Here is a 20,323-nt window from a genome sequence, read left to right on the forward strand (position 1 = left end):
GTAGTATTCAGACTTGAATACATGAGTGCGGGATTATCTATTTCAAGAACAGTTGCTGAGGAGGTTCAGAAAACTCAAAATAGAGGTCTGCTGCATCTATCCAGGATAACACTGATTCACCTCTCCCTGTAAGACAGTAAAACTATAAATATCTTAAAATCACTTAGTAAAGTTACCCAAGAGAAACATTGAAAAACCTTTATTTAAAACATTTAGGAGTGTTCTCATGCTTTCCTGACCCTTAGAAATTAATAATTCAAATGTGGAAATACTATATTAATAATTCAATGCATATTAGTATTTTCTCTACTAAGTATCTTTACAGCTCTCTCTCTGTAAATGAAATCTTAGAGTATTTTAAGAGACAGGGTCTTGTTCTGTTGCCCAGGCTGGAGTGCAGCGGCGCCATCAGAGCTTACTGCAGCCTCTAACTCCTGGGCTCAAGCAACCCTTCTGCCTCAGCCATCTGAATAGCTAGGACTACAGAGCAGGCACCACCGCATCCAAGTAATTCTTTAAAAATTTTTTCTAGAGATGGGATCTTGTTATTTTGCCCAGGCTGGTCTCAAACTCCTGGCCTCAAGTGTTCCGACTACCTCAACTGCCCAAAGCACTGGGATTACAGGCCTGAGCCACTGCCCCTGGTCCTAAATTAATTCATCTTTAGGTTTCCAATGAACATTATGAATACTGTATGTATTATAATTCTCGAATGGAGTATTTTATTGTATATACTTATCTTCTCATCCATGAAGACAGCGAATGTTAATCTCATTAAAGCTGAGATCCAGCACTTATTAGTTATGTAATTAGGAGCAAGTTGACATTCCTTGCATTTTAATTTCCTCATTTGTAATATGAGTATGATGTAGTAACTCGTGAGATAACGAACGTAAAGTGTTTCTTTACATAGTGAACCTAAAATATTAATAATAAAGTTTCACCAAGAATCACAGAAATAGGAATGAAACCCAGCCTTTTATCTGTATACTGCCACGTGACTTCTTAGGAATTAGGCTCAATTGTCTTACTATATTGAGATGAATTATATACCTAGTATAGTATAACATTTCTGTTTTTCCCATTGCTTTCTCCTCTGTGTTTTAAGTGCTCTAACACTACGTTATAGAACTTATAGCATAGACCTTGAGTGCTTTGTGTTTTTGCCTTCCCCTAGAGACCTAAATATATTGGCTATAAATGGTGGCGGTAAATTTTTTGACTCATGAGGAATTGTGATGATTTTTAGTACACATATTTTAAATATTAATATGTGACATAAAAAGCAATCAGCATATTAGTATTTGTTAACACTTCTCTTTTTAAAAAAGTTAATAATGACAGTAGACCTCTTTATGAATACCAAATATGCATGGGGTGAAGATAATTTTAACAGTCTTTATGGCTAGTTATATATAGTAACATGCTGGCATAGCTTTTTAATAATCAAATTGAGAAAAGTTTTGTCTTTGTATAAAAGTCATCACTATCAACTAATATCATTTAAGCCACCTCATTTGCATAGCATTGCCTTGGGCATTATACAGAATAAGAACAAGATACTATCTTTGTCCTTCTGGTGTGCCAAAATGTCCTATAAATGGGTATATATTTTGCAGTATTGAGTTATACAGAAATATATTTTTAAAGACACTTTCATTTCTAAGTTTCAAAATATTTTTGCACCAAAAACATTGCTCTTATTAGGCCACCTTTTCTAAGGAAGTTTTTATTCATTTTATGGAAATTCAGAATTTTGTCTACAAGACTAATGACAACAATTGTATATTTATATATAATCGCCTTTTTGTATATGTCTTAGTCTCTTCAGGCTGCTATAACAAAATTCCTTCGACTGTGTAATTTATAAACAATAGAAATGTATTGCTGACAGTTCTAGATGCCAGGAAATCCAAAGTCAAGACACCAGCAAAATTCGTGTCACAAATGGTGCCTCTTGCTGCATCTTCATATGGTGTAAAGGGCAAAATGGCTCCCACAAACCTCCTTTATAAGGGCACTAATCCCATTCATGAGGGTGGAGCCATCATGACCGAATCACTTCCTAAAGTCCCCACCTCTTCATTCTATCACATTGGGGATTAAATTTCAACATATGAATTTTAGGGAGACAAGCATTCAGACCACAGCAGTATATTTAGTACATTTTTATCCTCCCTATCTAAAATATAATTTCTCCTTCCCTCAATGATCCACTTACACTCCACTGCTTTCTTTTTCTACTTCGTGAACCAACAGTCCCAACAAACTTTGACAATCAGTAATGTTGACTGGTAAAGTGAAGCACTGAAATCCTATTGTTAAGTAGCCACATACATACATACATGCATACATACATAGATACATGAAAGCTAACCAGAAAATGAACTAAACTTAATTATTTTTAGTTTATTTTTTATGAGCAAGTGATGAGAAAATAATTTCTAATGGTTAATCCAGTTTATGCATAATACCAATGATATAAAACTTTTTTACAATGGTCTAGCATTAAGGAACTATAATGTTTGCATAAACCCTATGTCTGTTCTTGCTGGATGGTCAACTAGTTTTGGAGTGCTGTTACCTTTATTGAAGAAGGATGTAAACAGAGCATTATCTCAATAGGTGCAGCTGCTGTGTGGAGCTCTGTGCAGGGAGAGTCCCCCAGCTGTGTGTGAGCTCAGTCATGGGAATACTGTGATCCACCAGCAGCATTTGTCCTGAGAGAGGCAGCCAGGATGTTGTATGTTTACCATCCCTGCTGAACAAATCAGTATCTTAATTATGGTAGGATGCCTCCCAGAGGTATATACATTTTAAAAGGCTACTCTTGATGACAGAAAATGTTTATTCCTAAGGCCACCCTGAGCACATCATCTGGTTTTATTGAAGGAAATACTTGTACATTTATGGAGGGAAGGAAATTTATTTTATTGCTTGCATCAGCATATCCTACTAAGTAATGAGTCCTGAAGCTTTTCTTTATAGGCCACAGTGAGTGGCTTCTTAACAATCACATATCTATTTTCCTTTGAATAAGTACCATTGCTTCAATCTATTCCCTTTTCTCCAAAGGTGACTGTATGTCTCTTTTATCTGGGACAGTTCAGGTCTATGCTTGTTGTTCTCTACATTTATTTACAGTACCCCTTTCCATCTTGAAAGTATCTCAGTGTGGGCAATAAATTTTATGGTCACTATAGACTGTTACCTCAAACTCTCTCTTTTTTTTTAAATCATGACAATTCAAATCCCATTTGTGCATATATTTTTGAGATACCTTGTTTAAATAAACAGTATCTTTCTTTGACCTGGCCAGCTTCCTTTTTTAAAGCTTTTGTTAATTTGGGTAAACAAATCCTCATGAACTGGAAATGTTGCTCAGTTTTGAAAGATGACATCTTTTTTACTAAATGCTCTTGATTAAAGATGGCTGCAGATTCTTTGACACAACTTCCATTGAGAAGTAGGATCTGTTTCCTCTCCCTTTGAGTCTGTGCTGCCTGTTAAGACTGTGTTGATCCATAGAGTATGCTGGAAGTGATAACCAAGCCAGTTTGGGGCCTAATCTCTGAGAAGACTAACAGCTTCCGCCTTACTTTCTTGAAGCCCTGAGCTACCACATAGGAAGTCCAGCTATGCTGCTGGAAAATTCACGGAGAGGCCCGGAGGCTAGATAGAGAGGAGGAGGGAGCTCCCTTCCAGCCATTCCTACCAACGTGCCAGGCCTCAAGTGAGGCCATCTTTGACTCGCCAGCCCAGCCTTGCTCACTATAACTAAAGACCTCTGAGTGGCCCCAGTCAATATGATGTAGAACAGAAGAACTGCCCAACTGAGTTCTGCCCAAATTGTTGACCCACAGCATCATGCAATATAGTAAAATGGCTATTTTAAGCCCCTAAGTTTTGGGATAGTTTTATGCAGCAGTAGTTATCTGGAACAATAACACATTTTTAGATAAACATGTTATTTTAGAAATTATTTTGGTAAGAGTACTATTGATCCTTTTGGTTTCTTTGTGAAGATCTTTAAAAAAAATTTATTGAAGATGATTGAATAAATTTTAACTCTTAAAATAACAGCAAATTTATGGAGCACCTACCAACTGCCCTTGCAATTGATCTACCCGATGTCATTTGACCACTCTCACCCATGCATGATTAACTGTACTTTGAAGATCACATTTAATCGTATTAAGAATGTAGTGTATTATGGCTTAATTTCAGCAGAAAATTCAAATGTATGTATGTGCCCTTTGCAACTGTTTATACTCATAGTCTGAACTGCCGTCTCCCCCTTCACTCTACCCACAGGGTGTACTGTTTATAAAAGTAATTGATGTAAACCATCTAATTTCTGTTGATGAAGAAAGAGTCTATTATTTGGTGGTGCTCTGCCTCAATTTTGATATCTAGCACCTGACACATAGAAAATATCTAGTAAATATTTGTTGAATTTATAAGTAAAGATCCCTGCATTCTGTATTTTGACAGTTTCCCTCCAGATCCCAGATCTCTGGAGACCCCTTATGCATCAAATCAATTTAAGCATTTCAGTGTCTAACACAAGGCATGATAAAGAAAAATAATAAAGCATTTTAGATAGTGTACATCCAAAAATGCGTTTTTAGCCTGGTGGCCATGGACATGTTTGCATTGATTTTGTGACATTTTTGTTACTCCAGACACCATGGACTACTTAAGGAAAGTGTCAGATTTGAAGACCATCACTTCATTATCTCATTCTACTTTGTGTGTCTATAAGTGTCAAGAACTGATTCCAGCACTGGGGATACAGCTGCATATAAAACATTCATTGCCCTTGCCTTCCTCAGGTCCCAGATGTAACTTTAAAGGTAGCACACCTGGCTTCAGGCAGAAACAAGACTTTAGCTCAAAACTCCTTATACTACTCAGAGTTCTTGGGTTTTTTTTTTTTTTCTTTTTTCTTTTTTTATTAACCCACCTTGTCTTAGCTAGGCCTTCAGAGCCATGGTTCACAGCTAGTGACTTGACTTAGTATTTACTGCAGGAAGATGAACAGAATAAGGAAAGCTACTTCTGTTTGGAAAAGATGGTATTAGATATTAGAGGGAAAGGTATCTATCCTGTTTTTCTCAAATCTTTTCCACAAGAATAATGGTTTTCAGACTAGATGGTTAGTTTTGGCCATCCTTGGCCAGAGGAATGGAAGCCAGAGATAGGAGATAAAACATAAATAACAGTTTTGGTACATTTTTACAGCTATATCACCATTAAGATTCTAGAACTGCCTTACTAACAGACGATTTGAGAGAACTTAGAGAAGGATAATTCTCATTTCTGTAGTATTTTACAATATCCACAGTACTTATTAATTCACGTATGGCTGTAGGGCGGGAGGCTGTAAAACAGGCTGATTGCCCAAGTGTGGTGTGTAACACCACACTAAGCTGTTAGTAAAGTCATCATCATCATCTTCCTTAACATTACACCTAAGTATCAATTAATGTTTGTTTCACAAATAAGGAACCTGAGGCTCAGAAAGCTCATGACGTATCCAAGGAGGCAGAGCTGGGACTTATTTCTAGGTCCTCTAACTCTAGATCCAGCTCTCTCTTGTGGTACACTTCATCTTAATTTTCCCCAGTGACCAAATTGTGGTTGGCCTGGACTGTTAATCTAGAAATAATTTACCCAGAAAAAAACTCAGGTTCGCTCACTTGATGAGTAACAAAGAACTCCCCATGAGAATGTGGGTTTTGATCAATAGGAGTTTTATTACTTGGTGCTAGGAAGTAGGACACTGTAAGGATTCTTCAAGGCACTGCCTCCCTAAGGAAAAGCAACAGGAGGGCTTTATGGGGCAATGGAGAGGAGAGAAGGGTGCAGCCTTGAATATGGAGGAGGGATCCCAGGTGCACAGATGCAGTGAGCCATCATGCCAGCACATAGGTCGCATGTTATGGTAATGAAGCTGTTGCCTCTCCCACAGTGGAGACTTTAGCATAGTAAGTTGCAGGGGTCTGTCAGGAGCTAGTTTAAGCCAACAAAGTGACCGCATTCCACACAGGCTGTAGGGCAGGAGGTTGTAAAACAGGCTGATTGCCCAAGTTGATGAAATTCCTATAAACCCTGGAAACCTCCTTGTCTGCTTACAGATAGGCTTTTAGCTAGTCGCTGTAGATCTGCTACATATTTTTATGGGATAGTTGGTTGGGGGAATCACTGAAAAAGCAATGTTTTAAGGTAATTATTACGGAAGTAGCATAGGATAGAGTAGAAGAGTGAGAAATTGGAGGCAAGACCAGTTAGGAGACTGTTGCAGTGTCTTAGGTATGAGTTACTTTGGAAATGAAAGCGTTTTTGTAGTGGGAGTGAAAATGATGGGACAGATTTCCTCACATCCAGTAATTCCTGTTCTGTCCATCCCTGTAATCACTACTGGACTAGACCTGTTGTTGCGGCCTCTCATTACACCTGATCATGCTTAGAGACTATTGGACACTCTGTTGCTTACCATCCACTCTCCCTTGCCCCACAGTGAATTCTTAAAACTATCTTTCTGACTTCTTTCATTTCAGTGTTGGCTTGAACCCTGTCAAAATGTAACTCTTCATTCTCCATTGGCTGCTGTTGAGGGCCATAACCTCTGCCAACAATGATAGTTTTCAGCTCCTTTCTTCATTGTGCATTTGTTTTATTTTTTTTTTCCATGTCATCTGTTACTTCTCCTGGTTCAAGTGAAAAGACCTTTTTAATAGGCATCGCCAATAAATCTCATGCCAGTTGAACCAACCAGTTACAACAAGCCATGAATAATGAAGGTACTCCTCTTCCTCTTCTGAGTTGTTTATTGCTGGGCAGAAGAAATGCTAATTCTGTTGGCCTCATAACCTGAGTTTTCTAGAAAGCTGTATTATAGAGATTCAGTGTTTGGGGTTTTTTTTTTTTAAGTTTTATTTAGTGTTATGTGTACTGAGTGATTTAGAAATGATAAATATTCTAAGATCTTACTACAACAATAGAAAAATCTTGCAGGATAAATACTCTTCTGTTCATAATTTAAAAGTTCCTAAAAATCTTAGCTCTTCATAGCTTTCAAGCTTCTTTATTTAAATCTTCTTCATTCAGAGGTAGCTTTAAAAAAGTAGTGTAATTGAACTTTGTGTACTGAATTTTCATTCAAAACATTTTGCCAAAGATGCTGAAAATGAAGAGGTGTTGAAAAGATATATACTATAATTTAATCCAGATGTAAATTTAGGTAGCAGTTTCAAATAACTTGCCTATTCCTGAGTAACTGACTCAATTTAATCTTTTCAAGTACAATAGTCAGGCCTGTTTTTTAATGCACAGGTTTCAGATTTCAGTTCTCAAAAAGATAAAATGGATGTTGTATGTCCGAATACCTCTTCCCCTTCGAGAGATGAAAGCTGTGTGTTCTCCATATATGTGCCCGAGCTTCAGTTTTCCTTACTATTTAAATTATGTAAAAAAGCATGCTTTGTTGACAGATTTTTAAATGACATATTTTTTATTAAAATGTACACTCTAGCTACACATTCAAGTATCAAATACAGATCAATGACCACTTTCGTCCACCTTATTTTGAATGACTTAGATATTACGCTTAAAAAAAAAAAAGAATCAATTAGTTTATTCAGATAGGTTTTTTACATTTGGTTTCTAAATGATAAGGTTTGGGGCTTCTATTTGCAAACACTTCCTCACAGATAACACATTACTGGCACTTTACAGTGGAAAATCTCCATTTCTAATTAAAAAAACAGATTAAATGTAGTTTTATTATATTCCTTTTTCTTAACATGGATTTTTGAGGTACTGTGACATCTTGATATGCCTGAAGAGCACTGTGGTCAATTGGATGCAATATATAGATCTAATAGTGAAGGAAATGTTTAGAACTATTGTTTTTATTTCCAATAACATGTTGTACTTCAGTGTTAATATTCATTATGCTTTCAGTCTTTAGCCAGTTTTGGATATAAATTAAACAGTACTGCATTGTACAGAAGTTTAAAATTGGTTAGTGATATTCTGCTGAGTAAGAAACTGACTGTGATCAGCTTAATCATGTGCCTTCCGTGATGTAAACACACAGCCAACAGGCATGTGCATGCAATTTGTCTTGAAGGTTATATTACTTTTCCTGTTTTAATGAAGAAATTGTTTATAATCTTACTGATTTTTTTTGTTTTTTTTTATTGAGGTAGAAATTTTATGCAGTAAAGTGCACAAATTGTAGGTTTACAGCTGGGATGTGTACACCTGTAACCAAATCCCAAATGAAGATGGACAGACATTTCAGGCAACAAAGCAGGCTGCCTCATGTTCCATTTCAGCCACTTCCATACTCAGAGACCACCATAAATGAGTCATGCCTAGTAATGAACTTCTGGCTTCCATCATTCAGCATCCTCTATGGGATTCATCCGTGTTGTTGCATGGACCAGTAGTTAATTCTTTTTAATGGAGGTGCAGGATGCCCCTTGCATGAATATACCAGGATTTCATTAATTGTTCTGTCGATGGGGCATCTGGATAGTTTCTAGGTAGGGGTTATGAATGATGCTACTAAGAACATTCTAGTACATATCTTTTGGTGAATGAATATGTGTATACTTTCTTTTGGTGTAGCATTATTGGATCATAAGTACATGTGTTCAGTACTAATGTATACTGCCAAGTGATTTTTCAAAGTAGTTGTAAACAGCAAGAGTAACAATTATTCCACATCCTAACCAACATTTGATCAAGTCAGTCTTTTTAATTTTAATCAATCCGATAGGATTCTAGGAACCTCAGTGTGATTTTTATCTTTGTTTTCTTGGTGTATAATGATGTGGAGTACCTTTTCATATGCTTTATGACCATTTGGGTATTTTCTTTGGAGAAATACCCATTCAGGTCTTTTGTCCATTTTAAAAATTGGATTATCTTTTTTTATAATTTGTAGAAATTCTTTATACATTCTGGACACAAGTTCTTTATTAGATGTATGTATTGCACATACCTTTCCCCAATCTTTGGCTTACCTTTTCACTCACTTAATAGTTTCCTTGAGTGAGCATAAATTCTTAATTTTATTGAAGTCAAATTTTAAATTCTTTTTATGGTTAGTTCCTTTTTGTGTCCTGTTTAATATATCTTTTTCTACCTCAAGGTTCTGAGGATCCATTCTGCATATTTACTTCTAGAAGTATTATAACCTAACTTTAGTTTCTATGATCCATCTCTAATTTGTACGGGTGGTGTGAGATAGGGGGTCAGGGGATTTGTTTGTTTTGTTTTGCATATGGCTATTCAGTTGACCCAACATCATTTATATAAAGGACCATCTCCCCAGTAAATTGTAGCCGTACCTTTGTCATAAATCAGGCAAATCTATCTGTGTGAGTCTGTTTCTAGGCTATTTTCTCTTTTGCATTTCTCCCTTCTTATGCCTAAACCACAATCTTAATTTTTGTAACTTTATAGTAAGTATTGATATCTGGTGTCTAATCCTCCAGCTTTGTTTTTCAGATTTGCTTTGGCTCTTCTAGGTATTTTGCATTTCTGTAGAATCCTTTGCATTTTCAAGAATCAGTCACACACACACACACGCACACACACACACACACACAACCAACGGAACCTTCTGGCATTTTGATTGGGATTGCATAGAATCCATAAGTCAATTAGTAGAGAAATTATGTGTTAATAATATTGCATCTTCCAGTAAGTAAATGTTATATATCTTTCATTTTATTTAGATATTTTTACATTTCTGTAAGCATTGGTTTGTAATTCTTGTTGTGAAGGTCTTTTACATCTTTAACTAGATTATTTTCAGTATTTGCTGTTCTTTGGTGCTACTGTAAATGGTTCATTTTAAATGGATTTTCTAATTGTTTTCTAATTCTAATATGTTTGAATTCTAAGTGTAGATTAACCTGGTATCCACAACCCTTACTTTTTAAAACACTTTATAAGTTATGTTTATAGTTTTTGTTTGTGTCTTTTTTTTCTTTGCCTTTTTGCACTGTCTGGGAACTTAATTGTACATAACATTTCCTTTTTTATACTTAAATATTCTTTTAATCATTTTGATTATAAAGCATAAATTACATATGTAATTACCTTTTTAAATTAAGTGTTTATAATTACATGCAGTTTTATGAAATAATCAATTCCATGTACTCTTTACCCAGTTTTTCCCAGTGAGGTAACATCTTGCAAAACTGTAGTACAATATCACAAACAGAATATTGGCCTTGATACAGAACATTTCTATCACCACAGGATCTCTCGGGTTGCCCTTATAGTCACACTTACTCCCCTCCTTCCTTCCATTCCCCTTCCCCATCCTTAGTCCCTGCCAACCATTGGTCTGTTCTCCTTTTCTATAATTTTGCCATTTCAAGAAAGTTATGTAAGTGAAGTCATACAGAATGTAACCTGTTCGGATTGGCCCTTTTTACTCAGCTAAATTCCCTGGAGATTCATCCAAGGTGTTGTGTGTATCCATAGGTCATTCCTTATTATTGCTGAGTAGTGTATCTGATATAGATTTACTGCCGTTTGTTTACCCATTCACTTGAAGAAGGACATCTTGGTTGTTTCTGATTTTTACCTGTAAACATTTGTGTACAGGTTTTTATGTGATCATAAGTCTTTATTTTTCTGGGTTAAATGCCCAAGGGTGCAATTTTTCACTCGTGATGATTATCATGGTTAATTTTATGCTGCCATACTCTTCTCTAAAGTAGTTGTCTAATTTTACATTCCATCAGCAATGTATCTAGTTTGCGTCCTCGCCAGCATTTTAGTGTTGTCACTATTTTTTATTTTAGCCATTATGATAAATGGCAAATGATGTTGCACATCTTTTCAAGTTCTTATTTGCCATCTACATCCTCTTCAGTGAAATGTCTATTCATGGCTTTTGCCCATTTTCTAATTGGATAGTTTGTTTTTACTATTGAGTTTTGAGAGATCTTTCTATGTTCTAGATATTAGTCTTGTCGGATCGATGTTTTGAAAAGTTTCTCCAAGTCTGTAGTTTGTCCTTTTATCCTCTCAGGTCTTTCACAGAGCAAAAATTTTAATTTTGATGAAATCTAATTTGGTTAGTGTTTATATGATATATCTTTTTCTATCCTTTTATCTTTAACTTATCTATTATATTTAAAGTGGATTTCTTCTTGATAGCATGGATGTAGGTCTTTTTAAAAAAATTAAGTCTGAAAATCTTTTTATTCATGTGTTTAAACCTGCGTTTAATGTAATTGCTAATATGCTTCAATTAGGCCCACCATTTTACTGCTTGTTTTCAATTTTTTCACCTGCTTATTTTTTTCTTCTCCCTCTTCTGCCTTCTTTCTGGTTATGTCTAATTTTTTATATTTTATCTGTTGTCTTTTATGTTTTTTAAATGGTTGTTGTAGGTATTACATTATAAATACCTAACCGTTCACAGTCTACTTAGAGTTTGTATTGTACCACTTAGAGTAAAATGTAAAGAGCTTACAACCATGTAGGTCTCTGCTTTCCAGAGTTTTTGTATGCGTTACATCCACCTATATCAAAATCCTCAAAAAGGACTATAATTTTTTGTACGTTTATACATATTGTAAAGAACTTGAGGAAAAAATAATCTTATATTTACATAGTATTTACTATTTTTCTTTCCTCATTTTTAAAATTGCAAGATTGCTTTGATACTATTTTCCTTCAGCCCAAGGAATTTTCTTTAGTATTTCTTTTACAACAGATTTGCTAGTGATAAATTTTCTTAGATTTCCTTCACTTGAGAATATTATTTTCCTTTAGTTCTGAAGGATATTTTTGCTGATACAGTATTCTGTGTTGACAGGGTTTTTTGTTTTTTCATTTAGTATTGTAAAGATTGTTCTACTGTCTTCTGGCATCTGTGGTTTCTGATGAGAAATTTTCAGTCCTTTTGTTTGTTCTATATGTAATGCATTTGTTTCTTTGGCTGCTTTCAAGATTTTATCTTTGTCTGTAGTTTCAAATGATTTGATTATACTGTGCTTTGACATAGTTCTGCTCATTTATTTTTTCAATCTTTTTTCTCTCATTTATTCAAATTAGATCATTTTTGTTGATCTGTTAAGTTTACTGAATCTTTTGTCATGTACAGTCTTCTCATCCGTGAATGTTTTATCTCAGATATTACAGTTTTCAGTTCTAAAATTTTCATGTGGTTTATTGTATTTTATGAGAGCATTTTATTTTTCTGTTTATTTATAGAGTGTTTACCTCATAGAGCATGGTTATAATTGCTTCTTTAAAGTCTGATAATTTCAGCATCTAGGTCATATGACATCTATTGATAGTTTTTACCCTTGAGAATTAGTTTTTCTGGTTCTTTGCATGTTTGGTTATTTTAGATTGTGTTGGACATTTTTAGTATTATGTTGCTTAGTCTCTGGGGCCCTGTTACAGTCCTCTGTAGAATGTAGATTTCTTTTTTCCTTTTAGCCAATAACCAACCCACTGAGGTTCAAACTGCAAACTTTCTCCTTGTTTGGAAGATGATTCCGATGTCAGTTCAATTTTCAAAGCCTTTACTATGCTGTCTTGTGTATACACCACTCAGTGGCTAGTCTGAGACATAGGAGTGGTTTAAATTGTAGTTCAGTTCTTTAACCTTTGTTATACTGCTTTGAGTCTTCCCACTCATACACAGCTCATATTAGCTTATGTTGATTCATACACAGAATTAGGGAATCTTTTTCTCTACTTTTCTCCTCTCTGGAGGGATCTCTGGGATTCCTCCTGTTCTCTTTAGACCACAAGAGCCCATTTTTGGTCTGGCCAGAAACATGGTGTTTCAGAGTTTTAGCTTTCTGCACTGCCACACAGTTCTTGCAATTGGGGTCATCCTTCTGGTAAAATGGGAAGAGAAAAAGAGGAGGAAGTATACTGGGGATTTCTCCCACTCTCTTCGGGACTGAGGGCCCATTTCCCAGTTCTCTAGCCAGAAAGACAGATTTCTAATGAAGTTTTAGCTACTGGCACTGTCTACTGCCCCAGCTCTGCTATCACTTACTCTAGGTGAACTGTGAAATAAGAAGGAAAAAAGTGAGGGTTTTCAGCCCACACACATACTCACGCTCAAAGGGCCCCCTTTACCCTGATCTTCTGGTTAAAGACAGTCTCCCAGAGTTCTAATTGTCTGTGTGCACCAGGAAGTGCCCACCCTCAGCTCAAGGCCACAAGAAAAAAAAAAACGGGAAAACCAGGAAACTCACTTGCATGTAGGTCTCTTTCTTCTTCAGGCGTTGGTTCTCTTCCACAAACTGCTTTTTTCTCTTTACTTTTCAGAGTTCTTTGGTAATTGTTTTTTGTGTTTTGTCCTGAGTTTTTATTTGTAATCAGCAGGAGATAGGCACTTTAATGGGCTTATGCTATCCTGGCCACAATAGAAGTTCTCAAGTGGTTTTTAAATAAAACATTTAAAATGGCTGTGAGTTGCATCTCCATCATCAGTTGGTCCATTGTGGACCAGTGGTCCACAATCCAGTGGTCCAATGATTGTGATAATCAAAGCATTAGAAATCTGTTCTGATATAATGTCAACACTCAGTTTCTATGAAAGCAGATTATTTTATTGGTTGAGATACTCCTAATAGCTTTGAATATCTTCTGGGTATCATTACTCTCCTTACTTTTTACATTACATTTACACATTTCTCTCTGTTCATCTTCAGTATGCATTCTGAAACCAACAGGACATCAGAGCTGGACTGTGGTTTTCTTTAATTATTCAAGCTAAATTACCAGAAATGCCCTTTTAAGATGAAATATTTAGTCGCTTCAAAACAAGTCAGGTTGGAGGAAGAGGGCAGGTTTACTTAGCTCATGTTTTTCATCCTTACAAGCAGTATTGATGTTTCATGCTAGCAAACTGTGGTAGAAGCCTTCGAGTCCTAACCAAAAACAATTCTTTCTTCAAAACTCCCGTAACACTTTATCAAAACTCCCATAACACTTTATTAAAAGATTAAAAATGTAAATCCTAAGGATAGGGTAACAAGCACTCTTAAGCACTATTGGTTTTAGTATAAATTTCTAGATGTTCACTGAAACTTTGTGTGTGTCTGTGTTTACATGGCAATTTGATGAACTAAGCTAGGAATATGATTTTTCTGGCTCAAAAGGTATGCAAAAGATTATAGGTATAAACACGTGAGAGATATATATATATACATATATATATATAATGCATACCCTTTGAGGCAGAAATCACACTTCTAGGTGTAGTTCATCAGATTGGCTGCTTATTTTAGCCAAAAAATGGGGGTGGGGGCCTTCATATGCATTAATGGAGTACAGATAATTAAATTACGGTACAGTTATAGTTTCTATAAAATGGAATGCTACCTAGCCATTAATACGATACATATTATTAAAGTGGAAAGCTCTATAATATTAAATGGAAATTGAGGCTACTAAATATAATACATCTTCATATACGCTAATGGAGGACAGATAATTAAATTATGGCACAGTTATAGATTCTATAAAATGGAGTACTACCTAGCCATTAATATGATACATATTATTTATTAAAATGGAAAGCTCTGTAATAGTGGAAATTGAAGCTACCAAATATAATTGGTATAATCTCTTTTTATAAAAGCTATAGGTATACTTATATTGATATATGGAGGAAAATAATTTGGAAGGATAGATATCAAAATAGTTATAGTGATCATTCTCACAGAGCCAAGATTAAGAATTAAAAAAATGTTTTTTTGTTTCCTATTAAGTATTGCCAGGTATTTTTTTAAAATCATGACTTATTTAATTTGAGCAAGAGTAGGAGGGACCTATATCATGTTGGAGAAAAGATTTCTACATTCTAAAGGGTAAAAGAACTAGAATCTATGAGAAGAAGGGGCAGGGTGTTACAGATCACAGTTCCTTATATACAAGTAAACTTTTAAACTGTGACTTTTTAACACTAACATTTAACAGACCTGACAGTACAAAATGGGTTGCCTGTAGGTATGAGTTCCACGTCACTAAAAATGTTCAGACGTAAGCTCCAAAGCCATTTGGTAAGTTTATCATGGAAGTAATTGAAGCATCAGTTTTTTTGACGTTTTGCCTTGGGACTCTCTTGGTAGATGATTTTAACTGTGTGAAAAGATGAATGAGGGGACTTAGAAAAGCCTTTCTGATTCTCATTTCCAAATTCAAAGAGAATTATATTTCAACCTGCTTATCACTAAGAAGATACCAGCATGTTAAAATTCACATGAAGTATGACCTTCTTTAAATACGCTACGATGCAGCACCCTCAAAAGTAAAGTACAGAAACTGACAGTAGTGGTATCTGTCTACAGTTTATCATTGGTGAATAAATGAAGGGAAGAAGGAATTGAGTCTGGACTTGCCGCATATGGAACCATGAACTATACACATAGAATGTTGTTTGGGGTCACAAAGTAGTAGATTAGGCCAGTGATTCCTAAACCCTGCTGAACTTCAGAATCCATCTTCAGAGCTTATAGATATAGACATATTACATATTTTAATAGACTCTTGGGTCCTGATCCCACAGATTTAGATTAACTAGCTCTGGAATAGGGCCCAGAAATCACTATCTTTAAAAGAATTCTCAAGTTGTGTTGATGATCAGCCAAGTTCAGACACGACCAGAATAAAATATATATACGTATACATACCTACATATCAGGACAGTTACAAGAAAGGAGAAAGCAAAATAAAGTATTTTGATAAACACATCAAGTTCTTTTGAGTTACTGATATTTTAAAAAGCTGTCTCGGTGAGAAGCCCATTAACATTCTACAGCTAAGTGATGCTACAGCCAGTATTTCTGATGTTTCATTCAGTCCATTAAGCAGAGCTGCTTAAAAGAACTAGTTTTATTTATTTATACATTTATAATCAGGTTCATGAATACAGTCAACACTATGGAAATTCTTGTCAATAAAAAAGTGTTTGTCCACAGACTACACACAGAAATAAAATTATTAGACCTGCATCAGTCACCGTCTGAGCTGGTCATGCCCTTAAAGGAAATTTCAAGGAAGATGGGCTGAAGTTGGTGAGATATCTGCTGATGTTTAAGATGTAAGCAAGGTGGTATCTTACTCATGATCAGGTTAACAATAACACATACATTGAACAGTTTGAGAATTTTGCATCTTTAGCTTTATGTCCAAATGATGAAAAGGGGGTAAGGAAGAAATGATGAAAAGGGGGAAATGATGAAAAGGGGGAAAATGAAGGCAACCTGCAAAACTGATAATGAAAATAGAACATGAAAGTAACTGTCATCACCCACTAACAAAGCACCTCATCTTCCTAAATAACAGAGTCAGCCCTCTAAGTCAGTCTGTCATAAGTGCCAGATTTGTTTTCTGAGGCCACTTTTGGCACCCGAATTCCTGAGGTCTAGCTTCAAATGAGCATTTCCTCCACTGCCAGAGTCCTGCAGGAGGCTGTAGAGATGGATCCCACAGCTGGTCCCTGCACTGACAGGCATGCTGTCGCCGGCTCAGGCATTGTCTAGGGCATGTCCTGCTTAGAATGCTCTTCCCCTAGAACCTGCACGGTAGGGAGCAGATTCCCAGAAACCCTTCCCATCTTTGTTCACAGCCACTTTCCCAACAAGGCCTGGGATCATCTTATTTAAAACTGTGGCACCTGTGCTCCCCACCCACCACCTGATCCACATCTTTTTTTCCATTGCACTTAACACTTTTATTGTAAACCCAGAATTGACTTGTTATGTTTATTGTTGATGTCTGCGCCCTCTGCTAATTACAGAGCTTTATTTGCTTTGTCCATTGATGTAAGTGTCTAGAATAGTGGCTAGCACTTAGTATATAAATATGTGTTGAGTGGATGGATAAGTACATGATGTATTGATTGTTCGATTGTTCATTACTAGCTATTTATGCCACATCAGGCAGTTTTCAGTATAGCCTTCAGTATTCACGTAGTTAAAACCATCCCAAATATTTGTGTTTGAACAACGTTGTCTGTGAAATGGAACTGCCTAGGTCATGAGTGCATTTTGGAGTTCTGCTGTTGAGTCAGAGCATGCTGGCAGTAGTGGCTCCGCTTGTAGAAGTGAAACCTCCTGCTTATGTTTTGGCCCCATGAGATCTCATAAGATTTCCCCCAACATTTTTGGCTTTACTCCTGATGCACACTTTCATATCTCTTAAAGATCAGCCTGTTGGACGTTATTCTTAGAACAGTGCTAAGCACTCAGCAATTAACCTAGTCAATGATATGTGTTGACTGTGGGTGTGACCCACCATGTCTGTTGTGATTTTTAACTTCAGAGTATCTTAGGAATTATCCAGTCCAGCTCATTTTATACTTCAAGAAACTCAGGAAACCAAGATTAGGTTAATCTTCTAAATTCACAGTACTAGCTAGAGGCAGCCCCTTCTGGGACAGGAGTCCTAGTCTGTTTGGTTTCTTTTTTTTTTAAACCCACCATATTGCTAAAACAGATAGCAACACCAGCTTCCTCATGCAGTGCAGTCATCTACTGTCAACACAGGTCTTGGCTTCTTTCCCTTCAGCGTCTCACCCATCTTTCTTAAGGAGGATCCAGATTTCTCCAAATGTTACCTTCATATGGGACCCTATTCTGTCACCCCAATCCAGAGCCTTCTTAGAATGCCTTTCCCACAGGGGCCAGTATATTCTCTCGAGTGCCCGCTGTTTGGGAATGCTTGCTTTTCTGCTTTCCTAGGCCCCCATCACCATGGATGTTCAGCACAGGGACTCTGGAGAAGCACCTGGTTAGTGTCTGGTGGCTGCTTTGTTGTTTTTGACTCCCATCTTTTTTGCCTGTCTCTTCCTCCAGCTTCACCCTCAACTCGGTTTGCCCTCAGGAGTTCTTTACCTCCTTTGATCAGTTTCTCCGGCTCCTTCTTCACCCTTTGTGGCTTCTCAAGGCCACATCACTAGAGTTAGGAGGGGAAAGAAGCAAGCACCCTCCTTTTATCTAGTACTTCATTTTTTTCAGCATTATCTCATTTGCCCTTTACAGCAACCCTGTGTTAAGTGGGAACAGATACTCTTACTCCCTTTTTACTATCAAAGAAATGAAATACAGATATGTAAAGGAAATGATCTCATTGGCAGAACTGGAAGCAGAGCCTCCAAATCTGGGTGTAGAATCTTTTCTACTGTCCCAAATTTTAACAGAGAGACAAAATTTATCACCGTCTGGTATTCTGAAATGTACATAATTTTTCTCAACATCGTACTCAGTTTAAAAATCTTCTGAGGATATTAATGTGGATTTCTCTAGTGTCTTTAGAAACTTGATTTTAGAAAAGGCCACTGACAAGTTAGTGATATAATAAACAGGTCCTCTGATACTGACTGCATTTTCATCTACATTTACCAGTTATTAAATGCTGTTATATGTGGAACTGTGTTTGCAATATTTTATTTACTGTTTTGAGAATTAGGTTGATGGTAAGATTTATTCAAATTCTTGATTTTAATAATGTATCAATACAACTTAATAATTTGATTTATTTGCAAGTTTTGAAAATCCACATATTCTAGTAGATCCTGAACTTAACTAAAAGTGTAAGAAATATTTCACATATAAAACATGATACAGGCTGGGTGCGGTGGCTCACGCCTGTAATCCCAGCACTTTGGGAGGCTGAGGCGGGCGGATCACGAGGTCAGGAGATCGAGACCATCCTAGCTAACACGATGAAACCCTGTCTCTACTAAATATACAAAAAATTAGTCGGGCGTGGTGGTGGGCGCCTGTAGTCCCAGGTACTCAGGAGACTGAGGCAAGAGAATGGCGTGAACCCGGGAGGCGGAGCTTGCAGTGAGCAAAGATCATGCCACTGCACTCCAGCCTGGGAGACAGAGCGAGACTCCGTCTCAAAAAAAAAATATATATATATATATATTTATATATTTATATTTATATATTTATATAGATATTTATATATTTATATATATTTATATATATATTTATATATATATTTATATATTATATATATTGTATTTAAACATTCTTTAAAATATTTATCATTTATCTCAACTAATAGAAAGTGATCTTATCACTTTTTATTATTCATAGACAGACTGAAATTTGTTTTAACTTAAATTCAACCAATGTTTTACTTAATTTTATTAATGTTTTTAAGTTACTCCACTGTCAAGCAAAGCATTTTAAAGTACACTGTGATGTATATACTTTCATAAGAAAAACGAAATGTAATTACATTTTGCAAGTAACACAAATTGGAAGCTGACATTGTCCTGACATGGCTGGCAGTGTCTGCTCCCTGCCAAGCTTCTCTGTATAGCCAATCAAGAGAGTTTATATGCAAAGTAGCAAATACATGGTGTTTTGTAATGCAGCTTTATTCTCACTGCCACTTGCCCTCCTAGAGGCCATGGGATGCACAAATTGTTTGTATGTAAGAGTCCTAGAAGATGTTAAAAACCCTTGTGTCTTATGTTCAGAGCTGTCAGCATGATCTAAGGCCCGAAATCGTAAGGTACAGTAGTGTACAGTAAATTTATATAAAGTCCTTTGATATAAATTGAAGTTGTCCAAATTCATTTCCTATAAAATGATAATATCCAAATTCTAGGTTTGCCTTTGATGTTGTTCCTTCCACTCATTTTTAAGTTGTTTTCATGTTTCACATTGCCAAATGGCACACTACCTGGAGTATGCCCTCTTGTTGAGACCATTCTTAGTTTGATATAGTGTCAAAGAAAAAAAGTGAGAATGTTGGGAATTTGGTTTGCTTTACAAGTTAGGATGAGTGGAGAGAACCCTCTTGACAGGATGAAGAAATCTGTGGAAGTATCATAGCGAACAATAACCACCTGCCTATTATCCAGTTTCCTGAATGATAAAAATTGTCTATGCATCCTGCCTCAAAGGCTTGACCATGGGGTGGTTTTCTCTTCTGACAGATTTAGCTGTTTCCAGTCACATTTGTTATCACTTTTGTGCGATCTTGCTGTTTAGCTCCTTTAAATCAGAAATACATTCTGCTTATGGGAAGACACACACACACAAACACACACACACACAGATTTATACTAAAATCACAAAAACCTTTTAAAATGTCTTGTGAAAATATATTAGCTATCTTTCTTAGAACAAACATAAAGAAGAATAGTAAATAAATGTGCAGTCCAGCACCAGTGTTGACATCTGTTGTGAAATGTGCTACATGGAGTAACCATTGTAGAGACAATCATCTTAGGCACCAAAATGACTTAGGAGCTTCTTTCTTTGTTCTTTCTTATCACTTACTATTTTTA

The 20,323-nt window shown here is 36.1% G+C and overlaps 1 protein-coding gene across 1 annotated transcript in view, besides 3 other annotated features; it reads left to right on the forward strand.

Annotated features, from left to right (window-relative positions):
• Nucleotides 1–20,323, forward strand: part of RAP2A (RAP2A, member of RAS oncogene family) — a 34,960-nt gene that overhangs the window by 8,876 nt on the left and 5,761 nt on the right. The gene's annotated exons all lie outside the window — the stretch shown is intronic.
• Nucleotides 5,737–6,238: an enhancer, noted in NCBI's record as "NANOG hESC enhancer chr13:98101035-98101536 (GRCh37/hg19 assembly coordinates)". NCBI's record gives its function as "activates a minimal SCP1, AML or CMV promoter by ChIP-STARR-seq in primed H9 embryonic stem cells {active_cell/tissue: H9 hESC(primed)}" and the evidence as "EXISTENCE:reporter gene assay evidence [ECO:0000049][PMID:30033119]".
• Nucleotides 16,817–16,866: an enhancer, noted in NCBI's record as "active region_7892". NCBI's record gives its function as "activates an Ori minimal core promoter by ATAC-STARR-seq in GM12878 lymphoblastoid cells {active_cell/tissue: GM12878}" and the evidence as "EXISTENCE:reporter gene assay evidence [ECO:0000049][PMID:35858748]".
• Nucleotides 17,227–17,336: an enhancer, noted in NCBI's record as "active region_7893". NCBI's record gives its function as "activates an Ori minimal core promoter by ATAC-STARR-seq in GM12878 lymphoblastoid cells {active_cell/tissue: GM12878}" and the evidence as "EXISTENCE:reporter gene assay evidence [ECO:0000049][PMID:35858748]".

This window comes from Homo sapiens, chromosome 13 (assembly GCF_000001405.40).
Source record: "Homo sapiens chromosome 13, GRCh38.p14 Primary Assembly".
In the NCBI taxonomy this organism is placed as follows: Eukaryota; Metazoa; Chordata; class Mammalia; order Primates; family Hominidae; genus Homo; species Homo sapiens.